Below are 20,607 nucleotides of genomic sequence, written 5' to 3' on the forward strand. Positions count from 1 at the left end.
AAGACATATAATTGTCAGATTCACCAAAGTTGAAATGAAGGAAAAAATGTTAAGGGCAGCCAGAGAGAAAGGTCCGGTTACCCTCAAAGGGAAGCCCATCAGACTAACAGTGGATCTCTCAGCAGAAACTCTACAAGTCAGAAGAGAGTGGGGGCCAATATTCAACATTCTTAAAGAAAAGAATTTTCAACCCAGAATTTCATATCCAGCCAAACTAAGCTTCATAAGTGAAGGAGAAATAAAATCCTTTACAGACAAGCAAATGCTGAGAGATTTTGTCACCACCAGGCCTGCCCTAAAAGAGCTCCTGAAGGAAGCACTAAACATGGAAAGGAACAACTGGTACCAGCCGCTGCAAAATCATTCCAAAATGTAAAGACCATCGAGACTAGGAAGAAACTGCATCAACTAACGAGCAAAATAACCAGCTAACATCATAATGACAGGATCAAATTCACACATAACAATATTAACTTTAAATGTAAATGGACTTAACGCTCCAATTAAAAGACAGACTGGCAAATTGGATAAAGAGTCAAGACCCATCAGTGTGCTGTATTCAGGAAACCCATCTCACGTGCAGAGACACACATATGCTCAAAATAAAAGGATGGAGGAAGGTCTACCAAGCAAATGGAAAACAAAAAAAGGCAGGGGTTGCAATCCTAGTCTCTTTTTTTTCTTTTTGAGACCAGGTGCGGCTCTGTCACTTAGGGTGAAATGATGCAGTGGTGTGATCTTGGCTCACTGTAACCACAGCCTCCCCAGCTCCAGTTATCCTCCTACTTAAGCCTCTTGAGTAGCTGAGACTACAGGCATGTGCCACCACATTCTCTAGCTATTCAAAGTTTTTATAGAGACAAGGTCTTACTATATTGCCCAGCCTGGTCTCAAACTCCTGAGCTCAAGTGATCCTCCTGTCTTGGCCTATCAAAGTGCTGCGATTACAGGCATGAGCCACTCACCCGGCCCAGGTTATTATTAATATGTTGAAAATAACTCCGATCTGAAGACAGGATCCTAAAGATGTCCTCTTACATATCTTCATCTTTGTTGATCTCAATTTATCAATCTGTACTTTAGGATCTGGGGAGAGAAAACATTCGCTCAACCTGTTATTAACTTAACTCAGTTCTATAGTGTGTTAGTCCAAATATTTCATATCAGAAAGCACCTTGTAGAAACATTTGTATAAGTACATATGCTAGTCCTAAGGTTCACCTCAAAAAGGGGGAGGTGTTTGGTATATGTCCTTAGCAAGGTTTGCAACAAGATTTTTCCCCTCATAATATCATATGTATATATTTTATGATATATATATATATATGAGACAGAGAAAGAAAGGCTAATCTGTTATGACTTGTTTCATTAAACTAGAGCTTTCTCTGACCACGCAACACAAAAGAGAACATTTTTTGATTCACTGCTATATGTTTTTTATAAATTACAAAGATATTATGGTAAATTCCAAACTTTTCCTACATAAGTTTTATAATTACCAAATTATAATGATAATTATCTCATATATAATTTATTTTATAATTTGGTACAGAATCTCACTTTGTAAATTCATACATCATTTTCATATTCCATGGAAAAACAGTTCTTTCATCATTTTAATTGCTTATTAAAGATCCTGTGCAATCAGTCCATCATTTTTCTCTAATATATGACCATCTTAAGGTGCAATTCACATAAGCCAGGGGATTGAGCTCATTTGGAATACCAAAGTATTGTCTCGGAGTTCAATTTCTCTGGACTTTATTCCAGTTTATTCAGTTTAAAATATTTCACCTTGACAGAAGACATTATTAAACAAGAAGAAAAGTATTCCACTAACATTCTGTCATTTATGTGGATCCCAAATGGAGGGTTTATTCACTTCCTGGTCCTTGCTCCAAGTATTACTAAATGCCATTAATGTTTCTCTCATTCTAAATGTTCTTTGAAACTAACATTTTGTCTAGTATTCTGCAGGTGGTAGCAAAATAAAAACAAAGTTTTACATTCAAATACTATTGGTTTCTTTAGCCACGTTTATGCATTATTAACTTTTTCTTTTTCTGCCATTGTTCTGTTAATATTTCTAGGTATACAGTACATCTGCTTGTACTCTCAGCTACCTGAAATTATTCTATTTTTGAAATGACAGGAATATATACCAATACATTGATAGGGAATATCAACTCTAACTCACACACAAATACAACTATTAATAATAGCTTTTGTGTACTGACTTGAGAAGTATAATAAAAATTGTTGGTCAGGCATGGTGGCTCACGCCTGTAATCCCAGCACTTTGAGAGGCCGAGGCCAATGGATCACTTGAGGTCAGGAATTTGAGACCAGCCTGGCCAACATGGGAAAATCCTGTTTTTACTAAAAATACAAAAGTTAGCCAGCTGTGGTGGCCCGTGCCTGTAGTCCCAGTTACTCGGGAGGCTGAGGCATGAGAATTGCTTGAGCCCACGAGGTTGCAGTGAGCCAAGATCACACCACTGCACTCCAGCCTGGGCGATGGAGTGACCTGTCTGAAATAAAATCGTTTTATTTAGTTGGCATATATAAGCACCTTTATTTACCTCAAAATTCTGTGAAGTAATTATGATTATCATCCCCACATTACAGATAAAGTAACCAAGGTACAAATATGTTAAGTCAGTTGTCCAAGGTCACATAGCTAGCATAAGAGAACCAGTAGAGGAATCTAAATAATCTAGTTCCAGGACTTGATTATGCTAACCACTTCACAATACCACTTCTCATATTTTGTTTAACTTTACTTGCATGCTTCTTATCAGATTTTGATCACTTAACTCTAACCAACAAATTCAGTTTTTGTTGAAGTAGATTCTCATCATTTCTTCTATGCTTTTTACTGTCAACTAGGCATGCCAAGAGCTCATCAGTCGTCTGCTTTAAGGAGATTAGATGTCCCATCTCTTTTCCAGTTCTAAGGTGTGCCCTAAACCTGCCTCCATTTTACTACTTTTGGACCTTCTAGTATGCTGTTAATAACACTTCTTCATTAATGTTTCTTTTTTTTTTCTTTATACCGCTTTATTTCAACCTTCCCAGCATGCTAGATTTCCATGTAGTGTGTACCCATATGACACCTGGTCTTCTCCAGTTAGGTCAATTTCTTTCTTAAAAAATGTATCTCAATAATAAATTCTAGCCCCCAAAATTTTATGATTTCCTTTAGAATATGTATCATTCTGCCATACCTATGCATAAGAATATTGAAATTGTAAGAACATAAGTTGGTTTTTTTTCTTTTTTTGAGACGGAGTCTCACACTCTGTCCCCCAGGCTGGAGTGCGGTGATCTCGGCTCACTGCAAGCTCTGCCTCCAGGGTTCACGCCATTCTCCCGCCTCAGCCTCCCGAGTACGTGGGACTGCAGGTGCCTGCCACCACGTCCGGCTAATTTTTGTATTTTTAGAAGAGACGAGGTTTCACCATGTTAGCCAGGATGGTCTCAATCTCCTGACCTCGTGATACGCCTGCCTCGGCCTCCCAAAATGCTGGGATTACAGGCGTGAGCCACCGCGCCCAGCCGAACATAAGTTTTATTTGTGGTTATCTTTCAAAGTGTTGCCTCAAGAGAGGTTTTGATAAGCTTCATATTATTTCTGTTTATTTCAGTAGCTAACTTATCAACTGATTAAAGATAAACTCCCATTTTTAAATAAAAACAATGAAACTGAAGCAAAGTTTGATTTTACCCAATCATCTGGACCTTAATATATCAGTATATGATTTCTATATTCATACATTGATGGAAAATAGAAGGTAGTACAAGTAAGGAGACTGTGGTCTTAGTTCCAGTTCTGTCACCAGCTTTCTGATTGAGTTTTATAGATAATTTGAATGTCTCTTTCCTAATTCATAATTTATTCACAATCTTGGTGATTATATATAAAGTACTTTTAAAAAGTGTTTTTGACACTATGATTAATGAGTTATTTATTAATCAATACAGACAATTTGCTTCACATGGTTGTGAACAGATACCACAAAACTGCTAGACAAATAAATAAGCAAAATAAATAATAATGAATTGCAGGTACTAAATATTAGATATGTGGGAGCAGTTCCTGTATAGGAATTATTGTAATAGTAGTTGGTAGAATTACATCCATAAACTTATATTGTTTACTTCCTGGACAAGAAATAAAAGATCTTAATAAGAATGTAGCTCAGGAAAATAAATAGTGTTAGGATCTCAAACAACACATGGTTATGATAAAGGTTATAAGTTTTATCTCCTTTGCAAGAAATAGGGCAGGCTTCAGTACCACCTAGTGACAATGGTGAATGGTCTCAATGGCAAAAAACAGCCTGGAGGAGAAAAGACAATCTGCTTTTATTGTATTAGCTATTTGGCTTCTATCTCCTACTTCTATTCCTTTTTTCATTCTTCTGTAAGATAATGTGTTTATCCTACTTTTGGTTTCTTCAAATTTTGCAATAATTTAATTCCTGTACAACACTAAATCACCATGGAAATTACCCTGTTCATACAATGAATTTGAATACAAATTAAATGATCGAGAAATACATTCAAAAACTTTAGAGCATGACAGTCTCATAAATATTTGTATATAAACTGTCTCTACATCTCTCATTTATAGGGTTTCTATTTTAACATGATCCTTTGTATAAAAATCTGTATTTATTTACATTTCTTTTTAATATTTTTCAAAAGAGCTACTTATTAAAAAGTTCTGATCTCTTGGTATAATCAGAACAGAAAAATATAGAGAAATAATAACACTGATGAATGTAAGGGAAAGGTGCCCCTCAGGAGAATGATTTCCATTAAATGTTACAGATTACTACATTTTGGTTTGATTTGCCTAATATTTACTGATTTCAGGCACATGGTAAATTTCTTTTCTCTTCTTTTTCCTTAAGAATTGATAACTCAGTCGAGGACAGAATTACAAAAGTTGTAGACTAAATGTAATCATAAATAAATGGCACATTAATGCTTACTTTTAGCTTGGGAGCAATGGGGAGATAATAATGCCCACCATGGAAATGATACCTTTTTCTATTATATTATAATTTCATTGAACTCAGTAAAAATCTTTTTTTTAAAAAAGTGAATAAATAGCTGACCTTAGGAAAAACACAACATCAATTAAAAAAATCTGAAAAGTCACCTAAAGGCCAAAAACATAGTTTCTGGAAAATTAAGAAGGTCAAATTCAATTATATCCACATTTGGTATGTAGTTAAAATTCAACATATTTCCACTAGAAGCCCTTCCCCATGTTGTAGGAATCAGGATTTTAGATTATCACATTGATCACAGTAGCAAAGGGTAGCACACAGTGATCTCTAAATACACATCATTTGCTTTGATGGACATTATAAGTAGATATTATAAATAATATTCATTCTATATTTAGAATATAATTAGAGACCATTTTAATTGACTTTATGATATGCTCAAGAAAACGCTACTGGAGTATAGAGAATGGATTGTGATTCACTGCTATATGTTTTTTGTAAAATACAAAGATATGGTAAATTCCAAACTTTCCCTACACAATTTTTATCATTACCAAGCTTATGCATGAGAATAAATGATAACAGTCCACAGCTAGGTGTGCCTATTTCTCTATGCATGAAATATGAGATACTGGATGTAGAACAGAGACAGGTATTGATTAACTCTTATTTGGATTGGAGCTGTGTTTCTGAGGCACCTAGCTGGTAAATACTAGAAGGGTATTTAGTTTTTTTTTTTTGTTTTTTTTTTTAGGTTCCAGGGTACATATGCAGGTTTGCTATACAGGAAAATTGCAAGTCACAGGGGTTTGATATAGAGATTTTTTTTTTGTCACGCAGGTAGTAAGTATAGTACCCAGAATAAATTACATCTCTAAAAACAGCAAACACTTCTAAAAAATGATGGGGTATATAAGATAGTAAGATAGAACCCAATAGGTAGTTTTCCTATCCTCTCCCTCTCCCACCCTCCACCCTCAAGTAGGCCTCACTGTCTGTTGTTCCCTAAAAGAGTATTTAAATGTTAATCATAATGGCCCTATGTCTAGACCCTCAAAGTTTAAAGAAAATGGGCCAATTAGTCTATTCTATATTTTAAGATCTCATTTAATAAATTGCTTACAGTGGTTGATACATTATAAGAATATATGTATAAAATAGCTGAAATAAGTTAAAGGTTTAAAAGCCAAATTCATCATAAAATTTACTCATTACTCCAGAATAAATTACATCTCTAAAAACAACAAACACTTCAAAAAAAATGATGGGTTATACAATGGGGTTACGAAATGTTCGTTTTAGGTTTCAAAAAGTGTCCCTCCTATTCTTTCTTATATCCCGCATTTATCACATGGCTTTCTTCATGTCACTTCTGATTCTGTCATATATCTCTAGAGTAGCATAATTAGACTGGGGTATAAAGCAGGAGGGATAAAAATGAGATGGAATAGAAAAAGCAAAGTGTGGAGAGCCTTTCATTATGGGAAGCAACTATATAATCTTGTCTGGAAAATTATCTGAAAATAGGCAACTTAGCTTACATAATTTAAGTCTATATAAGTCTCTTTTAAACAGAGAATGATAACCTTGAACTCTTTAGAAAGAGAAAGTTCATATGAATTGCCTGACATCCGTATATCCGTAAATTGAATAATACAGTAGAAACTATTAGTCTGCTATTCCACTGATTCCCAGATTGAAGACAATGTTACTATTTTATTCCAATCTGCATCAATTCAAAACAACATTTTTATGTGAAACGTAAATATATGAGGAGTTCAGAAAAAATAAGATATTATAATTGCCTTTCTTTGCCAGATTCTTTTGAATTTACGACAGTAGTAAAAGGAAAGACCCTAAAACCCAACACACACATACAAAACACAATGACTTTTCACGTATTTTTCATATACATTCTGAGCTCTTCCAGCAGTGCAGCCAATTCATGGTTGTTTTCTATAAACATAAATTGGCAATGGTTTATAAAAGATGAAGTTGTCTGGGGCTCATGAAGTAGAATGGTATGGTGGGTTCATCCTTAATCCAAGGGGAAATATGGATTTTATAACCAGCTACCATACTGTCTCTGGCTTTATGCAAATGGAATAACAATTCTGTTTCAGACTCTTTATCTTTAAAATGGTAAATGTATTTTTACTCATTTCCTTCAAAATAGGTGAGATAATGTGTTATACATACATGAATACTATATTTGTGAATGTCTCAACAACATTTAGAATAGCAAGGATATAACGGAGAACTAAGTCTAGCAAATTAATCATTTTGGAGGAAATATTAGACAGCAAAATACTTTTTTTTCTTCAACTTTATCAGGTGCCACTTGTTAGATAAGGTAATTTCATGAATAGTGCTTCTTCTGCTATTTGTTGCTTAAAATTTAAGAGCCAGTCTATGTAAGCGGGAACAAAAACATGTTTGGAACTTAACGGCTTGGTCTTACATTGCTAAAGCAACTCAAGGTCACCATAGCCAATATACAATCTCATCAATATCCTGTATCCCTCTCGATGATGAAATTATAGTTCGATTTAAAATTTTCTGAAATACACATTTTATCTGAAAACAAAATATCAGATTAGAGTTGATTTCCTTATTTTTTTCCTGTAAGAGAATCCACATCTGAGAAGGAAGAACACAGTATGTGAACCCTTTCCCTTTTGTGATGAGGTCATGTTTCTATCCAATAGAGAGCAGTTGCCAGGCAGACTTTGCTAATTGGGAGAGACAGGACAGCAAAGGAGAATCGCAACACTCAGCAGGCTGCTGACCTACTTTATTATTATAACTCATAGGAGCTACGAAGGCATTTTTTTTTCCAGTAGAGCTACAGTGACTTGTCAGCAAATTAGTTACCCTTTGTTAGGTCTTAAAAAAAAATAAAAAAAAATAAAAAAAAATAAAATCTTTCTGTTATGGCAGTACGTTCTATTTTAAAAAATTAATATTATCAGAATAATACAATTTCTAAGCCATAGAAATTCAAATCTAAAATAGATTACTGAATCTCAAGAGAGGGGAAATATATTTTTAATTAAGAGATTTTTTAGCTCATTTCTTCGTAATATTACTTTGGCTATATTATGTCAATCAGTCATTACCTAAGTAGTTAAATGGGCTCTGTAAACAAAAAGTGAATCTATTTTAATTTTGCCCTTAAATATTTGATAGAATGGCAATAGATAAAATAATTGTCCGGGTTTCTATATTCTAATTGTATATGTGAGCTTACATATGAATAATTCTCATTGCTTTTTTTCCAAATTATTTACTTAAAATATCAATAAATAGCTCTCTCTTCTCTGCCCACCCAGCACACATTTATTGGGATGATTATAGTTTTTGAGCTAGAAGTGCCTGAAGTATCTTGATTCCCCACTCTATTGAAGGTTCCTGATCTAAAGCCAGCTAATACTACTTGAAATGAATGTCTCTCTATTTTGTGTCTCCCTGGCCCTCGGTTTTTCATAGATTTTATTTCAATCCACACAGGGCTACTACTAGAACACCACTGGATGAGTTAGAAAACAGACTGTACTCCCTGGGTATCTAAATTAAGAAGAGAAAATAGGCTTGCATGGCTTCATTTTCAAGGGAACACAGTTTGGAAAACAGAAAAAAGGGGAGTAATTCACCAGCACTTGAACCATGCTCTTTGGGCAGTGCAAACATTTCAGAGCTCTCAATTCAAATTCCTATTAATAGATATGTCATATAATTTACCATTTCACTGGATTATAAATGTATTCATTGTTGAGCTTACATTTTGTCAAGTTTTATATAGTTTTTAGTACCCAGAAAAGATAGTTTGAATAAAAGCATGTTAGAATGTAAGCCTAATGAGGGCAGGGACTTTGTCTCATCCTCTACCATGTGTTTAGTGCCTAGAATAATGTCTGGAACAAAGAAATACTCAATAGATCATTTAAATGAAAAAATACATAATATACACTTAATTCATAGCTAAGAAGCTACGTACAAGAAAGTCAAGTGACTTGCATAAAATCAGCAGATTTAGGGGTTGAGGTAATTCCGATATGTATGTCTTTAAATTTAATTCTGCAAATTTCGCCCCCTATGTTTCTGTACAAACGAGTTAGGATAGGCTATGTTATGTGTGAGCTTCAAATTAAGACATGCTTCTGGAACTCAAAAAAAAAAAAAAAAAAAAAAGGGTTGAGGGCATTATAGCAGCTTTTCAATGCTTATACCTATAAGTGAAATATACTGCTATTCATAGGCCATTAATTATTAATTAATAGCACAGACAGGTACCCATCTAACTGAAAGGCAGCTAGAAAATATGGAAAGCACGTGGCTATTTGGTTGTTAGTAAGTGTCCCTGTCACATTGTTTCAAATAAAAGTAAAATAGAGTAACCTAGATTTTCCAGTGGAATCCCTTATTCTCTCCATATAGATTTTACTAATTAGACCATTACAGACATTTTTTATATCAGTTTTTTTCTCTGATATTGCTAGATTGGTTTACGCATCTTAACTTTTTGGAAATTAATATATCTATAGATATGTAGAGAATTAGAGGCTTATTAATTTTGACTTCAGCAATTTAGAGTATGTCCACGAGTTCTAAATTCAGTAATTTAGAGTATGGTCAAGTGATTGATTACTTATCTTTGAAAAAAATAACTTGAGATGCACAAATCATTAAAACAAAAACTGTATAAGGAAGACCACTTAAATAGATAACTGAATAATTAGTTTGCACATATTTTAAAAAATGCTGATAATTACCATTTTGATTATAAACAATATTTTAGTTAGCAACACATGCAGAGTTGGTATAGGAGTTGTCTAGGATGCAGATACATGAAAGACCAATTGTCTGCACTGTAGAATAGCACTTATCAAAATTAAATAATGCACAGATTCCTTCAAATCACAACAAATGAATCATTACAATGAAATACCCTTGACTTGGGTTAAATTATTTTGATTATAATGTTACTCAAATAAATACAAGTATAAAACTAAAACAAACATAATTTTACAAATCAAATACAAAATAATGAATCAACAAATACATCTTAATGTAAATTTACTGTGATGAGTAATGCTGTTTTGCTAAAACCAAGTAGGTGCATAAAATGTAAATGTAGTGCTGTAATGCCAGGTTTTGTAGATTGTGTGATTTTATACAGTATTCTACAACTGAGTGCTATGGAATGACTAATTGACTTATCCAAGTTTTTCTTCATTTTGACTACGGTGAAACGTGTACAGGATTTAATATGTTATTAATCTTTCAATTGGTATAAATGCATCATTTATTTGTTATGCTCAAAAACCAGAATTATTTGATGTAACTCCTCATGACACAACCTGCTCCAACTACAAAAGCATATTCAGATTCCATATGTATGACATTCAGATAATCCTAAATTCATAACATGCTATGTTAAAACCTTCAAAATGATTACTAACATGTAATCATATATTTATAAGATTGCTAGTAGAAAACATGGACTCCCTGACAGTAAACCTATAGACTTTTAAAGAAAGATTGCTCTAGGAATGTACTGTTTAGCTGAAAATCCTTCTTTATCTGTTCTATAAAGTCATTCCCTAGGTTACATCCGATATTTGAGATTCAGTTCAAAATTAATACGCAAGTTAACGTGCATCATTTATTTTCTTATATTCTTAAAATGAATATTTCATACTTGTAATTTTAACAAAAACCCATTACTCCCAATCTTGTTTATAATGATTTAATATAATTTTAGTGTTGTACACCTAAACACATAGCCACAAAATGTCATGGGAATAAAACTAATCTTATTAGAAAGTAATTATCTGCTATATCCAAGATTTTCATTCAGATAGAATTATATAATTCAGACTTATTTCTTGAATGAAACAAAAACAAATAATATAAATACAAAGCAAAGTTACTTCCTGTTCACGTTGTGTTTTGCAAGTCAGTATCTCCTTCCTAGTCAATTTAAGTAGCCTGCACTTTTAGTCCGCTTTCCGTTGTTACAACAAAATACCACAGACTGGGTAATTTATAATGAACAGAAATTTATTTAGCTCACAGTCCTGGAGGCTGGGATATCCAAGATCTTTTAAAGTTTCATGTGGTGAGGGCCTTTCGGCTGTCCCCTACCACGGCATAAGGATAGAAGGGTGAAAGGGCCAGCAATCACATGTGAAAGAGAGCTGGAGATAGCCAAACTTATATTTATAACTAACCCCCTTCTCCAATAACAATATTAACCTGTTCATGAGGTCAGTCTGCTCTTTATGTAATCACCTCTTACTAGACTTTGCATCCCAACACTTCTGCAGTGGGGATTAGGTTTTCAACACATGAAGTTAGGGGGATACATTTAAACCATAGCACCTGCGACGGTTAGTGATTGACTTTTTAAAAATAATATTTAAATAAAAACTTTAATGAGGAATTTAGAAAGACTGCAAAGGAATTCACTGAGAGAGATTGAACCTACATTTATGGAATGAAATAGTTAATATAAGAATAGATATATTAAACAAATTATCAACACTACAGTTACAGATACAGTATAATTATAGCATTGACTTTGAGTTTCTCCTCATCTAGCTAGTGGGATACAGATAAAAGTATGGGTATAAGTGCAGATACAGTTAAGAAGGATATAAATATATAGTAATTAATATTTAAGAATAAAAATAATTTAATGATGGAAGGATACAATGAAGAAGAATAAACATAAAGAATTTGTTAGACCCACTAATCTTTATTATAAATAATTTAGAATCAGAGCCTAAGGTCATAGCATGTTTGTCAAGCCCAAACCCAAGAAAGACGAGTGCATTCCTGCATATATCCTGGCCTGGCTCCTTAATTTTTTGATTTCTCAACTTGATTTTGGTTTTCTACATCTCACAAAAGATCAATCTTGCCACTTTTTAGTGTCAGAGCTCAAACGTTAATTTTAATGGGATTTTCTACTGCAGTTGGAGTGCTTTAACTAACAGGTTTTGTCTCTTTATTACTACCTTCCTTAACTGTTCTTTATAATCTATGCTGCACAAAACCGTCCAACATGGTTTAGAGCAGAAATTACAGAGTCAGATATATAAGCATTCTACTCTTGGTTCTATAATCTAGCTGTGTGACATTGACTATTCATTTAACTTCTAAAAACTTTAGTTTTTCTAGCCAAAAAGTGGGGCAAAATAATGTTTACCTCATTCAGTTGCTGTGAGGACCAAATAAGATAGCATCCTTCAAAGCACAGAGTTTTGTATATAGTAAGTGTATTAAATAAATGCAGGGTGCTTTTGTTCTCATATTGGATTTGCACTTCTCCATTATAACTCCTTGTGCATAAATATACTTTGCTTTTTATTATTGCAATAAATGATTTACCAAAACTCCATAACTTTAGAATGGAAAAATAGTATCTTCAAGGTCAAATGATACCATCAAGATTCTCTCTTGATTCAAAAATGGTCTTTTTTATGGTTATTTCCTTCACATCACTATTATCCACAATATAAATTAGGCCAGGCATGATGGCTCATGCCTGTAATCCCAACACACTGGGAGGCCAAGGTGGGAGGATCACATGACTCCAGGAGTTTAAGACCAGCCTTGGCGACATAGCAAGACCCCCATCTCAAAAAATAAAAACAATAAAATAAAATAAAATAAAATAAGTTATGGCTTTTATATTTGAACATACATGACGGTTTCCTTCTCTCTACATTCGAGTTACACATGGAAAAATGTTAAATAAACACAAGAGAAAATAAAAACCAACTTCATATGTAAATCTGCAGCCAAAAAAAAAAAAAAGCCAAGAAGTGAATTGCAAATTCTGGAAAGATATTTTGTATAATGTCAGGATATTAAAAAAGGTTGAAGGTTGGGCTATGTTGGAATAAACATACTACACACACACACACCACAAACACACACATGAACACACACATTTGAGCACATATAGACATGTTTAAAGAAAAACAAGAATTTTTTTCAATAAATGTGTTTATCATCAGATATATTAAGTAGTATATTGCCTTATAATTATACTACCATATGTACTTTATAGACATCCCAAAATAGTTATTTTACTATATCTATGATGACAATTGGTATTTTTCTGAAAGATACATAGGAAAAATGTAAAATAATAATTTTTTACCAAATTAAATATTGGTTGGTGCCAATGAATCATCTTTTGGCAGTAGTGCTAATGTTTTTATACTATCCTCTCAGTCAGTAGCCAGATTATAGAGCTGTTGCCTTTTCTTCTCCTGAAAAATACAATTATTACTATTTTTACCATATACTTTCCTCCTTCAAAAAGATAAGTAAAGTGACAGATCTATAATCAAGTAGACATCACAGGTTTGAAAAATGAGCCAACCAAACTACTGCTTACTTTGTTCTTTAGTTATCGAAACTACCATATAGAATATTTCTCAAAAAAACTGTCAATGATAAGTGACTAAGTCACAACAAATTAATGTGTCAGGTACTATTCTAGGCACTTTCTATGGTCTGAATGTGACTCCCAAAATTCATGTGTTAGAAGCTTAATCCATATTACAACAATGTTGGGAGGTGGGGTCTAATAAAGGTGTTTAGGTCATGATTGCTTTGCTCTCATAAATAGATTAAAGAAGGCTTTCAGAAGTATGTTCCTGCCGCCTTTCCACCTTCTGCCATGTGAGGGATAGATTTGTCTTCTCTGGAGGACATAGCAGCATGGTGCCACCTTAGATACAGAAATTGAACGTGCTGGCACCTTCATCTTGTACTCTCCAGGCTCCAGAGCAGTGAGAAATACATTTCTGTTTTTTATAAATTACCCAGTCCATAGTATTCTATTATAGCAGCACAAAATACACCAAGACACCACTGGAAATACAGGACAGAAGAGAACAGACATTACATTCTGGTGTGGGGAACACAGAAAAATATAAATAACAAATAAAAGTGTATATACATACACATAAGGTGGTCAGGAGAGCTCTTTGTGATTTAGTGATATATAAGCAAATATTAATGAAATGAAGCGAGATCTAGGTAAATATAATAAATATCAGGTCAAATATCAATGAAAGCATAGAAAAGACAAAAAGAAAAAGGAAGGAAGGAAGGAGGACAATAGGGAAGAAGATAGAAAAGGAAGAAAAGAAGACAATACATCTTAACTGTCAATGTAAATCGCCTTTTTTTTTTCAAATAGAAAACCTATGCTACAATCATTAGGAGAAAAAATCATAATCTTTGGTGTCCATGTAATTTCTACAAAAATAAGCCAACAAATCAATAGTAGAACAGTTTGAGAAAAGACAGTATTTGATTTATACCTAAGGGAAAAATGTAAAAATCTCATAAAATTAAAGTACCATAAAATGTCACACATCAAAGAGGGCTATTCACAGTTAAACAATGTTTTATTAAGTAAAAATGTAATTAAAATGTAATGCAGGAAGAAAATATGGGAACTTATACAAAAAGAACAAACATTTGTGAACACATATGTGTGTATATATAAAATATATATAGAGAGATTTATAGATATATCAACCAAAATATTCCCTGTTCTTTTAATTCTTTTGTGAGTGTTGAGTGTTGCATTATATAGATCAAAACATATCTTCTTAAAATTAAATAGGAATATACATAGCTATTTAAATCAAATTTATACTTTATAGTTTTTTAAATATTTACATAACTTTCAGAGGTAAATTTAAAGCCTACCTTTTCCCCGAAGTTTTCCTTATTTTCCTTAGCAAAAAGTAGTATCTGAAACTTCATTTGGCTTCATACATATTTAATCTATATCTATGCTGATGTATCTGCCTTTGCATGTTTTACAATCCCTAAAAGTGTATGTCTTGAACCTAGTGAAAGCTAAAAAATGTTGATGAAATAAGGCGTTATTCTAAGCCACAGGCATTTTTGAAAGAATGCTGTACTGTGGTAATATTTTATGATTGTATCTTTGAAATAAGATATGCCTCAGTATACACAGAATAAAATATATAAAAGTAGATGTTGTAACATATACATACTCAGGAACATAGTCAATTAGTAAAATTTAGTTGTAACCACCCTCCACAAACATAACATCTGATTTTATATTCATAGAAGCAAAATCAAGTTGTCTGTAAACATTTATAGAGAAGAAATCAGATCATTGTAACATAATTACTTAAAAGGTTTTGGCACAACGTTGAAAAGTCAGAGTGTAAAATAACAGAATTTACTTACAACCATTTCATTTAAAGACACCCAGCAATCTGGTGGGAAGTCCTGCAGTAGTGGTACTAAGAACTGAAGACAACCATCCCAGTGGCACAGGAGCAGCATCATGCCGATGAGATTAAAAATTCTCACCACTGCACTGGCGAGATCATATGTCATGTGGAATATCTGTTGACCAAAATATAAAATCAATTCTTATAATCAATTTTTTAGAAAAATCAAGCATACTACTGATAGTAGGCATTGATGTTGTGTAGCGTAAGCATTGATTTAATAAAAATATGGGAATAACTTGCAGAAATAGAAACAGATTACATTTCTTTATTTTTACAATAAGGTTGACACTCCACTTTATGAATATTAAAGCCAACTATGTCTCATGAGCAACAGAGATAGCATGAATATATAAATGTATGTATTAAAGAACATCGATGTTGCCAGAAGTTTTTATTTATTGTTCTTTTGCATATTTTAGCAAAGCTACTTTAAAACAAGGTAGCAAAATTTACAAATGATGGGTAGCTTCTACTCTGCTTCTCATCTCTTGTTATATTAATAGATTTGTTGAAAGACAAAGAAAATACCCAAGGACTGAAAACCATATGCCAAAGGAGTTCAGCTGCAAAATATGAAGTAATATTGATAATAAATTACAGTTAAATTTATAGCTATGTGAGTGGAGATATTTAATTGTGGATACTGAACATAAATAGAAGCCTTTGAGATAAAGGCTACCTGGATTTGGTTTAAAAACAATTGTGCAACACTTTTAAAAATCATAACTATTTCCATAAACTTTTTGTATTTTTATGGTACAGGCTTTACTTTTCAGTTACTCCTTATTGTTTGTATTTTGATGAAATTCAGTATGGTAGGTTAGATTATTTCAGAAAACACAAACATTATGACAAATCAACATAATCCATCAAAATTTTATAAATGGAAACAAATACCCATCTTTACATCTGTAACTACTCATTTTTCTAGAATTTACAAGAAATAGATTCAGAATGTGAGTCCTTTCTTTAGCAGTTTATTGTACTCTCTAACTGGCTGCTAATATAGTTTCTACTTATATTTTACCTAGTCTAGAATAGCAAAACCCACTTGGGAGCAGACCTACATTGTAGAACTAAGTTTTGTTATAATTGTTAAGGAATTACTGCATTAATAAATACAATTAAATTTGAGTAAGTACTTATAAACACAATAACTTCAGATATTTAGAATCACTTTTTGTATAATTCACCAAAAGAATGGTGTGTTTTTGAAGTAACAAGGTAAACTTGTATTGAAAAATTATCCAAAAAATGTAAAGAAAACCAAAAAAAATACATTTGGTTTTAGAAATGATATCTTTGTAGGAAAATATCTATAATTCTTAAAATACACACACTGAAGTACTCAGAGGTAAAATGACAGGGCATCTGTGATTTTGCTTTTATAAAATAACCAAAATCTGTCTTTAATTAAATGTTTTTCAGTTTGATATATTTCTATGAGCATTAATTCTTTCTTTAAACAATCTTTTTGACATAGTAATTATAGTGAGCAAAAAGATTTTTTTCGTGGGAATATACACACTGTTCTGAATTCTTTTTAAAAGAAAGTTGGCAGTTCTAATTTTAAGGGCAACAGACCACATATTTTGATATTCAGACAGCTATACACACAACTTATTATATAGCATTAAGAATTTTACTTTTCTGTAAGCTACTTTTTATTTTGGTTTTAAATTTGGAAAACCTACAGAAACATCCTTTTGATATTATTCCCTCTGATATTTCTTGGTCACTGAATACATAAATAGAAACTCTACTAACAATTTCATCAATAATTTCTCATTAAAAGTTATATAATACAACATAATAAAAAAGCTTTCTACTGATAAAGTCGGAAAAAGTCATCATGAACTTAGTTTTTTTGTTGTTGTTTAGTAACAGAATTTACATTTATATCTTAATATTTCCTGAGAAAATCATTTAAGATGTCTTGTGGATAAAGACTGCGTTTTGTTGGGAAATAGTGTTAAATTGCAGAATATAAACTTCTGGAAAAACCAGGAAGCTTATCACATTTCAGCCCAATTATTTGAGGCAACTAATAACTATCTGAAAATATTACAAAATCTACAAATTATAAGTATACAGGCAGTGGCCATCATTCAATTATCAGGCTTTAGAGTGGAGTATGGAATGGTCTAGAGAACTAGCATCGATTCTTGGTAGATCTGACTGGGTTTTTCTTGCATTTTCTACTTCCTTTTGGGAAATTAGATTCTTTTCATGGGCTCTCAAGAGATAAAGATAAAATAATATGCTAAGTTATTCAATTCCTTTAAGAAAACCCTATTATCTCTAAAATGTTCTCTAGAGAGACAGGACCACTAATTTCATAGAGGAAGTTAATGGGGATATAACATCAATGATAACACTTTAGAAACACTTTTTGTTTTGCTACTATGCATTTTCATGAACTATTATAAGATTATGCCTAGATTCAAGCCTATCTGCTACCAAATAGTCATTCCCAATTCCATAATGTTAGGTAGTGCTAGTGCTGGCTTCATACAGTAACTCTACTATCTTTAGAGTACTCAGTAAGAACTCACATAATTAATTTTATAAACAGTCTCCCTTATGGACATTAATATTATGTGTTCAAAATTGACATCACTTTTGGAGCTATCCCAAAATTTAACTTTGGAGAAGGTACAAGCAAGTTGGGTATTTTTACACTGGTTAATAGCAGAGGCAAATTTCAACTAGTCAAACCCATATATCTTCATCTTTATTTATCTAACTGATAAAAGAGCATATGTAAAGTATATAATATTACTTGTGATGAATACGTGAATGTGTGCATTATCTCGGCCCGATCTGATTGTCTTTTGAACCCTTATAACTAAGATACTCTGGCAGGCATAATCATTACATACGATCTGAATACTGAGATTAATAGCCCTGTTAAAACTTTACTCAAGAAAGATTTGGAATGAGAAGGCTACTTCCTTACGGAGCTCACACATCTGTAGATAGTCAGGTTAACCAAAGAAGGAAGCATCTGATCTAATTTATGCACAGCCACAACTTATTATTAATAAGGGCAGCTTGTAGGATAAATCTAAGTGTGACTTTATTCACCTTACTAATCAAGTGGCTAACACTATTGATCAATATTTTTAGTTTTTCTTCATCTATAAGGTGGACATTCTTAAGTAATAAATTTCCATATAAATCAATTGTCTTGGTGCTATTGCATGAAAACTTGACTTCATGTAAAATGGCACCATGAATGACCCTCAGTAAATTGTTACTAAATGAATGAATGAGAGAGTTGAAGGGGTTTAATAATAATAACATAAATAACCTTTTATGGTGTACCACTTTGCTTCTGTATCTTAAACAAGGGAATTAAAACAAACAAAAAAATCAAAAACTTCACTATTATTTTCCATCTTCTAAGTAACCTGACTTGAAACCTAACCTCAGGTTAGGGTAACAGGGTAAGAGGGCTCAGGGTTGGGGTAACAGAAAGAAAGGCTCTCTTCCCCGACTAGCAATACACTTTTAAGTTACTTTCAAGTGGTATTTACAGGAGTCAACTGAAAAAAATGTAATTAAAGTAAGTTTTTCAGCCAGGTGCGGGGGCTCACACCTGTAATCCTAGCACTGTGGGAGGCCGAGGTGGGTGGATCACAAGGTCAGGAGTTCGAGACCAGCCTGGCCAATGTGGTGAACCCTTGTCTCTACTAAAAATGCAAAAATTACCCGGGCGTGGCGGTGGGCACCTGTAGTCCCAGCTACTCAGGAGGCTGAGGCAGGAGAATCACTTGAACCTGGGAGGTGGAGGTTGCAGTGAGTCGAGATCATGCCACTGCACTTCAGCCTGAGTGACAAAGTGAGACTTTGATGTGAAAAAAAAAAGTTTTTAAACAACTCTTTAATCTTATTTTCACCATATCTAGACTACAAACAATGTCTTTAGGAGACACGGTGCTTTACATTTGTCCAGCTCAGGACATTGTGCTGTTCATGTGACCTTAATAAGAAGAAAGATCTGGTCACAAATTCTCATTGAACTTTTTTTATATTATAGGTTTAGAATTTTATTTAGTTGGAGTCCAATAACTCCAGACAGGATAAATAATTAACTTTCTAAAACTGAAAAATGCTCTAGGATATTTTAAGTCAGAATCCCAAATTCTACCTTAATATTTGCGAATCGTTCATCATAAATGTGATTTTTTGTGATATTTTCCCAGGAGCAATGTTTATTTCATCTTGTTTTTAAAAGGTCTTTCTAAACTGCACTATACAACAGATATCCATAAATTGGCTTAATTCTTTTAAAATGCTTCCATATTCTTTCCTGATGAACTGGATTCATCGGTCTTTCAATCTAATAGCTTGTATATAAAACGAATGACCTTAATCTATGCTTAATTATTTGTTCTATTTTGTCTTCCTTAACCAAAAAACTATCAAAAATAATTGAAGACTCTTTATATTGTGCATTAAACTGCTTTTAGTCGTTGACTTTACATACTGGGATAATTTCTGAGCTAGTTTGTGTGATCTCAATATTGATTCAAGACTTCTTAATACACCTTCGTAAGTATCAAAATAAGATTAAGAAAATGGGCCAAAAATGCCTGTCTTGACAGAGAACATTCTATTTTAAAAGGTGTAAAACAAGGTTAGATTCTTCTGTTTCTCTTTATATTTCGGCACCTGCACGATTTGTTATATTTTTTAGATGGAGTGTATACATACCATCCTGACACAAAATTAAAAAAACAGCTACTCAGATTCAGTTGTACTGTTAACATATATTCAGGGCTCAATATGTAATAGTCCTAATCAATGGTAAAATAAATATTTTAAAAGCCCTATTATACCTCTGTGATTCTTGCCCTGAAAGTCATTCAGGTCATCTTTCCATGCTTTAGGTACAAAGTGTAGAAGGTTTTACTTCATATGAGAGAATAACACTCTTCATAGTAATCTCTTTTAACACTGACCAATGACTGCAGTCATTGGATGAATCTTATCAGTCCCCTTTTTAACTAGGATTTTATTTGGACTGAGAATACCTTAACATTCAGAAGGTCAACCATCTGAACATTTCAAAACTATCATCTTCTGTCCATAGTCCAAAAGCAATAATCCACTCTTCAGCCTCCTCCAAGTATTGTCCCATACTCATGCTCTTGAGTGCTTTTTACCTGGATTCTTCTTTCCACTATTCCTTCCAAAATTCCTCCTACATAATCAATTAATTATCAAATACCCTCAGCCACCTCACGAAATGCTTTCTCTACTTCTCTGCTTTTCCT

At 32.9% G+C, this 20,607-nt stretch overlaps 1 protein-coding gene across 1 annotated transcript in view; it reads right to left on the minus strand.

The window, feature by feature from the left end:
• The window catches only part of HCN1 (hyperpolarization activated cyclic nucleotide gated potassium channel 1), a 441,433-nt gene that overhangs the window by 191,623 nt on the left and 229,203 nt on the right, over positions 1-20,607 (minus strand). The window contains exon 3 of the mRNA NM_021072.4: positions 15,276-15,437. Coding sequence (NP_066550.2) covers positions 15,276-15,437 — 162 coding nt within the window. The remainder of the gene's footprint in view (positions 1-15,275; positions 15,438-20,607) is intronic.

The sequence above is a fragment of the Homo sapiens genome, chromosome 5 (assembly GCF_000001405.40).
Source record: "Homo sapiens chromosome 5, GRCh38.p14 Primary Assembly".
NCBI lineage: Eukaryota > Metazoa > Chordata > Mammalia > Primates > Hominidae > Homo > Homo sapiens.